The sequence below is a fragment of the Homo sapiens genome, chromosome 13 (assembly GCF_000001405.40).
Source record: "Homo sapiens chromosome 13, GRCh38.p14 Primary Assembly".
In the NCBI taxonomy this organism is placed as follows: domain Eukaryota; kingdom Metazoa; phylum Chordata; class Mammalia; order Primates; family Hominidae; genus Homo; species Homo sapiens.
The window spans coordinates 74,436,161-74,445,380 of record NC_000013.11 but is presented as its reverse complement, the minus strand read 5'-3'; positions in this window follow the sequence as shown (position 1 = coordinate 74,445,380).

The window sequence follows — 9,220 nt, the reverse complement described above, 5'->3', positions numbered from 1 at the left end:
GGGAAATGAAACCACCATGTAGGATCTGGATCACCATTAATCATCACTAAGCAAAGCAAAGGAAACTGGCTTAAGGAGCCATAGAGCATTTCCTGCTGCACCCATTTGCACTGTGTGCTAACCAGCTCAGCTAACCAACCCACTGGTTATAACACATAAACACACCCTTGTGCCCAAACACAGCCATCACTAGCAAAGTGCATCTGTGATGAATGAGATTCAATCAGCCTTCTGGCCTTCCAGGCTCAAGATAACATTTCTGCTATTGATAGTATCAATTTATAATTTAATTTCAGGTCCTAGCTCTTAAGAAATAAGGCTGTTTGTAGAGCTAAAATCTAATCCAGTTGAGGGTATTAGACAGAGTTCCATAAATTTCAATGACCACAAGATAGTCTGATCTTTTTAAAACTCAGCTAGAATGCATTTTATAAACCTGAATTTCTGAAATGAGTAATAATGAAAACAGTGATGTCAAATTTAATATTTGCTTATCCATTTACCCAGATGCATGAACTCACTGATCAGTCCGAATGTACTCTTTTTAAGAAAAGAAAAAAGAAATCCACCTGTAAGCTTTACAAAACGCAGGAAAAACATGGCTTCCTCTTAGGGTATTCAGTGAAAATTGATGCCATATCAATATGAGTTTATTGTTTGCTATTTATTTAAGAAAACAATACACGCTTATTGTGAAAGTTGCAAACAATAGAGAATGATAAACAGAAGTCGTTATTCATTGTTTCATTTATGGTTTCTTTTATGAGAGTCTGCCTTCTATATCTTTATTTAAGATGATCTGCGGCTGTACGCCCTGCCACCTTCAGCTCTCCTTGACTGTGGATGCCCCTGCTGCTCCCTGATTGATGTAGGCTTAGAGTAAGTTATCAGCCAGCTCCTGACCCATCCAAGGAGGATAATTTTATTGCATGTCTGTTTAGCCTCTGTCTGGTGCTCTCTTGAAGGCATCAATTCTCTCAGGTGAGAACCACAAATAAAATTTAAGAAATTCTCCCTCAGGCTAAGAGGTTAGGAATCATGCCAAAATTTCTCTGAATGGAGTCACTCTCTGCATAATCTCCCCGGCTCGGACCACCTCTCACAACTGTGTGCTGCTCTTTGATTAGAGGAGAATTAAAGACAATGTGGAGTCACTCAGGGGTTTGATTGGCCGTCGTTTTCTTTTCTGTTCCAGTTATCGTTTTGTTGGATTATCATAAGCGGATCTCTTGCTCCTCTCTTTCTTTTGCCATTTTTGCACATGTGGTTCCTACATAGGAAACCTATGAAATGACAAGCAACCATAAACAATAAGCATTGCCTCTGTCCTTCTTTTTACTGCACCACACCCTCCTCCTCTCCTAACAAAGAAATTTTGCAAAACTGCCTTTCTCTTCCTAGTGTAATGCAAAATCATTACATAAAAATTATAGGGTATTTTAGCCAATTTCTTCACTATACTGTGAGTTCTTCAAAGCAGTTAACCTGGGTTGCTGCCTGCATGCTTCTCTGTATTCCAAGCTTCTTCCTCCAAAGTACAAACAGGAGTGAATCAGCTCACGAAAATGGTCATAGCTGTGGAATTTAGCTCTTGGCATTTAGCCTCCCCTCTTTCTTCTCAGGCCAAGTTTCAACTATATTAATCCTAATGCATTGTAATCTGAAATAATACAAATGGAAGTTCCTTATAAAATAGATTTCTTCTCTGCAAAACAGGACAAAAAAATTATTCACCCTTTAAATGTAAACACTTTAAATGTAAACCATGAGTATGAAAAATAATCATTGTTAATTTTAAAAAACAGTGTCCTGACCAAAAAAAAAAACACCACATTTTTGCTAATCCCAAATTTTGGCTATATTTTTAAAATGCAGATTGAGTTTTGCCAGATTGCCAAATACTTTATGGAATATCGTTGGGCTGACATCCATAAAAATTGGCATCTAGTCCTGGTTTTACCCCTATCTCATTGTGAGAGTTTGAGCAATTTATTCCCCCTCTTTTCCTATTCCATTAAATGAGAAGATTTGTTAAAGAGATTGTTAAAATCCTTCTCTTTCTTCATAACTCATAGGCATCAGGATAGAACACTCACCTCCCTCCTCCCATGTTTTCATATGGAAGAATTTCCAGAAAGGGTCACTTGAGGCCTCTCACTCACATCTCCTCTGACTGATGAGTTTCCAGGGGTGTCCAATCTTTTGGCTTCCTTGGGGCACACTGGAAGAAGAATCGTCTTAGGCCACACATAAAATACACTAACATTAGTAATAGCTCTTGAGCAAAAAAAAAAAAAAAAATCGAAAAATATCCCATAATGTTTTAAGAAAGTTTACAAATTTGAGTTGGGCTGCATTCAAAACCTGAGCCACATGCGGCCCACAAGCCGAGGGTTGGATAAGCTTGTTCTACAAGCTCATTCCTGTTTGGACATGAGCTTGATCCCCAGAAGCACACTTACTCTATTCCTCTGTGCCTTACGTTTTCTGCTGGAAAAACTGATGGTTTTCTAGTTCAGACTATGACTGGGTAAGTAAATTGAATTCTGGAGTAAAGCATGAGCATATTGCAAGTTATATTCTTCAGAGAACTTTATAAAGTGGGTAATTTGATGCTCATTTGCCCAACTTCTGTGATTCTCTCTCCATTGGTTCTAAACCTGAAGGGATAGGAAATAACTATTATATATTAAGCCCACTAAAATATCCTAATTAGAGGAGCAAGGGTTTGATGAGAACAACTAGAATTGGGAAAGGAAGGAAAGATGGAAGGAAGGAAGGAAGGAAGGAAAGAAGGAAGGATGGATTGGAGAAAAATTTATGTATATTTGTTGAATGAGTGAATAAACTGATGAACAAACAAATTATGTGTGTTATTTCATAGCAGAACAATTTTACATAGCACTGATTTAAATGAAGCAATCTAAGAAAAACAAAGTAGGAGGCATCACACTTCATTTAAAATTATATTATAAAGCTATAATAAGCAAAACAGTATGATGCTGGCATGAAAACAGATGCATAGAAGATAGAAAGCCAAGAAATAAATCCAAGCATATACAGTCAATGGATTTTTAACAAGGTCACCAAAAGGACACAACATAGAAAGGAGAGTTTCTTCAACAAATGGTTCTGGGAAAACTAGATTTCTACATACAAACAATGAGATTGGACCCTTACACCATACTCAAAAATCAATTCAAAATGGATTAAAGACCTGCATGGTAGACCAGAAACTATATAACTCCTAGAAGAGAACATAGAGAAATAGCTTCTGAACATTGGCCTTGGCAATAATTTTTCTTTTGATATTACACTCAGGCCACAAATACAAAAGTAAACAAATGGTCCCATGTCAAACAACAAAAGCTTCTACACAATAAAGGAAATAATTAACAAATGGAAACATCAGTCTATAAATTGGGAAAAATATTTGGAAACCAAGGGAGGTAAGGGATTAATATCCAATTTAAAAAACTCATACAACTTAATAGTGAAAAATATTAAAAATAGTGGACAAATAGTTCAAATAAAATATAGGCAAAAGACCTGAATAAACATTCCTCCATAGAAGACATAAAAATGGCTGACAGATATATAAAATGGTGCTCAACATCATTAGTCATCAGGGAAATACACATCAAAACCACTCATGATGCCACTGCACAACTGTTAGGATGACTATTATCAAAAAGTTAAAAGATAAATATTGACAAGGACGTGGAGAAAGGGAATGCTTGTGCACTGTTGGTGGGAATATATATTGGTGCCACCATTATAGAAAACAGTATGGTGATTTCTAAAAAAATAAAATAAAATAAAAACAGAATTAACATGTGACCCAGTAATTCCATCTTCTGCATTTATACCCAAAGGGAATGAAGTCAATACATCATAAAGATACCTGCACTCATGTTCATTGTAGCATTACTAACAATAGCCAAGATAAGGAAAAATCCTGTGTCCATCATTGGACAAATGGATAAAAAAACTGTGGTACATATATATAATAGAATATGATTCCACCCTAAAGGAAGAATGAGATCTTGTCATTTACCACAATATGGATGAGCCTGGAGGACACTGTGCCAAGTGAAATAAGCCAAAAAAAATGAAAATATTGCATGATCTCACTTATACGTGAAATCTAAAAAAAAAATAAATATATAGAGATAGAAAATAATACAGGGATTACAAGGAGCAGGGTAAGGGGAGTGAATGAAGACATGTAGGTAGGAGGATATAAAGTAGCAGATATGTAGGATGAACAGGTCTAGAGATCTAATATACAACATGAGGTCTATAGATATAATAAAATTGTACTGTATATAGAATCTCTGCTCAAGGGGTAGATTCTAGCTGTTCTTACCACAAAAACAAAAAAAGGATAACCATGTGAGATGATGGACATGTTAATTTGAGTCACCATTGTAACCTTTTTACTCTCTACATGTATCTCATAACATGATGTTGTACACCTTATACACAGTACAATTTTTTAAAAACTTTTTAAAAAATGAAGCAATCTATTTACTGTTTTATTGTTTTGCAGGCACTTGTCTGTGTGTAAATGTATTTTATCTAAGTAAATTCCACACACAAAGAACATTTTCAGATTACAGTGTATAAGAGGACATCAAGGTTTATTTGGAGTTTCTTTCATGCATCGCAAATCCTAGATTGCAAACTCCAATAAAGTAAGAAACCTGTTCCTTTTGGTTTGCTTGTGTCTAAGATGTGGCTTAGCATTTACTTTTATTTGCTAAAATAAAGAAACAGATGGTGTGGAAGAGCATCCTAGCCCTCTCTTGGTTGAGTGCTTGCTAGACACAGAACACTGATTATTCTGAACTCTAACTACTAATTGAAAGGGAATCATGACATAGCACTTAGGAAAAGAAGAAAACCAGTATTCAATTGTGTTTGTTTATAAACATCATTATTATTTGATGATTAAAATCACAGATATTACTTCAGTATTTTAATATTAGTCTTATTTTCAAATTAAATTATTGTCATAAACATGGAAATTCCTCTATAAATTGTTGATGGGAGTGCAAATTGGTACAATCTTTTCTTGGAATAATTTGGCAAGATTTATCAAAAGCTTCAAAAATAACCATTAACTTTTTTCCCCAGAAACACCACTTTCAGAATTTACCCTAAGTCATCACATCTATACACAAAAATTCATGTACAAAAATTTTTTAGTGAGTATTGATTATAATAGTAGCAATTTAGAAACATTTGCAATGTCCAACAACAAAAAAATTGTTAATTTTTTAAAAATAGTAAATCTGTAGTTTGGAACACTATATTCTATAAAATTATGGAGTGAAATGCACTATATATACTTAAGGTAGTATTATTAAAGGTTTAATTTTTTAAAATAAATATATGTTTATCCAAACATATACATCAAGATACCAATATCACCACCACCCCCACACCCTGGAGATTTGGTTTATGTATATTGGGAGACAATTTTCCATGGATCTCTTAAATTTCTGCTTATTTTGCAAGTAGAGATACTGACTGCTCATTTTACAGATTATCTTCCCAGGAATATTTGCATTGTGAACAGGGTTGGAAAATAGTGTTTCCCTCTAGAACAATGGGTAGGTTTGTTCACTGTCCAGTTTAATAAAGAGAATGTCTCCCTTCAAGACCAAGTTTAGCCAGGCTATTGCCCATAGAAAGAGATTCAGGTTCCCTAAGCTCAGTATTCCTTTCCTGTAACATAACCCACTGTGTGTATAGGGGCCATCATGCCCCTTTTCTATCATCCCCTGGGAACTGGGGCTCAGGAAATGGTTCAAAACCTGCTGATGCTCTACTGCTGTAATAAACTTTTATCTCTGCTCTAGGAGTCTCATGTCTTCTACCAGTGTCTATAAAACTGCAGCAGGTTAACTTTTCAGCTTGCAAATCTTGACAATATGTATTCTTTTATTTGTGATTTTTATACATTTATAATTAACTATAGTAAACATGAATAATCTTTATAACCAGATGCTTAATGATTTTTTTAAAGAATCTGAAACTCAGATGCAATGTCACAATACTATGCCAACAATAGTATCAGAGGATGCTAGTTTCTCTTGGCAGAATAGCTGAGAATGAGGCAGCTAATGGCATTTTGTCTGTTGGCAAACTGGTCTTCCTGTGTTTGCTTCACATGTCAAGAGCCTTGGAGGGCTCTGCTTTCAACATAGAGCCTGTTAAAATCTCACACAATCCACTGACTTGTCTTTATGAGGTCCATGGGGCAGAGAACTATTCCAACAAAATAACTAGGTCTTTTAGAAAAATGTCAGCTGCATTTTCTGACAGGGAACAGGTGTTTAGTGCATAGGATTTCGAGTCAGGAGCCTGCTGCCTTTAAATATAACTGTCAAGTGATCAGCGTCCGCTGGCAAATTGCACTGGAAATAGAAGCTTTCTTTATACAACAGATGAGACTTTATAGTTGCTGGAGGTTATAAATGTTTGTGAATATGGCTGTGTGTACATATGTTCTCTCATCAGCATCCATTGGAACATAGAAGTAAAGTGTTTATGAAAATGTCCTTATCTGGTGGCAGTTCCATTTCTATAATTTGAAGTGAGATAAAAAGAGTGGAGCGCAATCCTCTAAAGATTTCTTTGGTGTGTATCTCTACTGTACCTTGGTACTCAGAGATGGTGGCTTAAGACAAAAAAAAAAAAAAAGAAGAAAGGAAGAGAGGTTCTCCCCTTACCCCTAAGCCAGTGTGTTATATTCTGAGGAGCAGAAAGGGGAGGGCTGGGACCATGTCTGATTGATTTTAAGGATTTCAGTCTTAGAATAATCAAGCTGGGGCTCTCTTTCCTTTCTAAAAGAATTTTAAGGTAATGATTCCTATGTAAATCCAGCCTATAAGAAGCCCCTTTAGGTAGAAGTTAACACCAACCAATTTGAAAAGTTAATCCATTATAGTTAATCACAAGTAAACCTAATCCAGTTCTATAGCACACAGTTGCCTCCCATTGACTCTTGTAATTTTATACTGGCTTTCCAAACTGGGCTTTCACCCCAGTCTTCTTTCTCATGTCACTCTGGATGTCCATAATTTTCTTGATGACACAGTGGCAAAAGCTATTCGTTCTTTCCAACAACATCCATTTCCACCATCCACCTTAGTAACAAAACTCCAGTTTTATTCAGGATAGCACTGTGTCCAGTTAAAAGACTAGATTTCCCAGTTATTCTTTGCTGTTAGATGTGGCCATCTGACTAATTTCTGATCAATGGGAAAAGGAAATGCTCTGTGGATTCTCTGGGATATTCCTTTAAAAGGCAAGTGCTTCATGCCCCACTCCTCTCTCTTTCTTTCCTTTCTTTTACCGCAGTGATGCAGATGGAACTCCTGCCACAACCTTACATAGTGCAATTATCTTGCAGATGGAAGACAACTAATATGAGCAGAGAGAGAAAGCCCCTGGGTCTCTAATAATTTTATGCTTTTCTCCAGGCTCTCTCCTCTGAACTTTGCTGTTGTTGTTTACATGAAGAAATAAACCCTGAGTGTCCAAGTTACTTCAATAGTTCCTAGATGAGTACTCTAATTCTCACTGATACAGACAGGCTGCCCTCCAATTCGATATTTTTCACAAACTCTTTTTGACAAATGTATCAAGTGAATTGGAAATTTTCAGGTTTTAAAAAAGAAAAAGAACTGGTGTGAGAGATAGAAGAAAAAAAATCTAGGCACTGAATTAGCAAACAGGATTAGGTTGTTTTCAAACAACAAAATTAAAAGGGATTCTGCATTGTTCTGTACTATTGGGAAGCAATGGCTAAATATGTATAAAAAATTGTCTTTTCAATGCTTCCTTTCATTTTTACCCACATGAGAGAGGCACTAAAGTGACTTGAACTGAAGCCTGTCCCACCTTTTCTCAGCTGTGTGGTATGGGACAATTTTCTTCCCCTCTCGATGTTTCCATTTCTTCCTATGAAAACAGCCTTCTTCACAGGCTGTTGTGAAGATTACATGATTTAATACAGATACATGGCCACAGACAGTGACTGGCATATATTGTCACCTATAATTATTGTTGTTCATGTATCTTCTATACTTTTGAGTGTTTCTATAAAATTTCGTGGAGTGATGATCTTTGTTTTGTATCTAACAATGTGACTCTATACTTTAGCAAAAAGAGAAAAATAGGGTGTTTTGTACATTGAAAGTGGGAGTGTGAAATTCAGAGGTAATCAGACTGTCAAGATCATAGAAAAACACTTTTCTCACTTTCTCTCCGAACATCTCCCTCATCTATCACCAACAGTGCCACAAAGTATGATAAAGCTGTTCAAATATCGTAAGAAATAGGCCTCCTTAAGATACTCCTAAATTTTCTCTCTCTCTCTCTTTTTTTTATTTTTTGTTGCGTACAGATCTCAAAACAATAGAATTTGAGGTCCTACAGCAAGTGCAATCTCACTTATCTTCTGCCATTTTGCTTTGGTTTATTACACACTCAAGATTTAAATCTGTCATCTAAATTCTTAAAGATATATTCACATTATTCGATTTGTTTCGACATTTTCATTTTCTTTTAGAGAAAGTCTTATTCATTTCCAGTAGTCTGTAGTTCTATCACTTGTATCTTCAAAAAATGATTCGTGTATTCATTATATTTTTGAATAATAAAAAAATTCTCCAGTATCTCTCAGTGTTCATGTTACCTTGGTTGCTGATCTTGTTCACATAGATCATACACAATAGGAACATATGACAGCTTTTGAGGGCTTTGTTTTTCTTCCCTTAGCTTCACCATCCCTCCCTCTCCCACGTTTATTATGTCACATTTCTAATTCTTTTCCATTAACTTTGATTCTTGATTACTTTTTGGTATTCTTTATTCATCTATGTAGAGATGGTATGTCCTTAGAATTTATTACTGGAATTACCCACAGAAAAGAATGATCTCATGATCTTTTCTCATGATGCTCTTTTTTTATTAGTTCATAATTGAGTATTGCACAGTAATTCCCCTGTGGTTCTTATTCTTACAATTAAGGATCATGGCACTAATTATTTACTTTTCCTTATTTCTTAACAAGCTGGAAATATATTTTGTGTACCCTTAAAGAAAGAGCCATTTAGTGTCTCAGTCAGAATCATAGATTTTAATTAAATGACTTGTTATAAAAATGCTTTCTACATTCTCTATTTAATCTGCCTATCTGCAATGC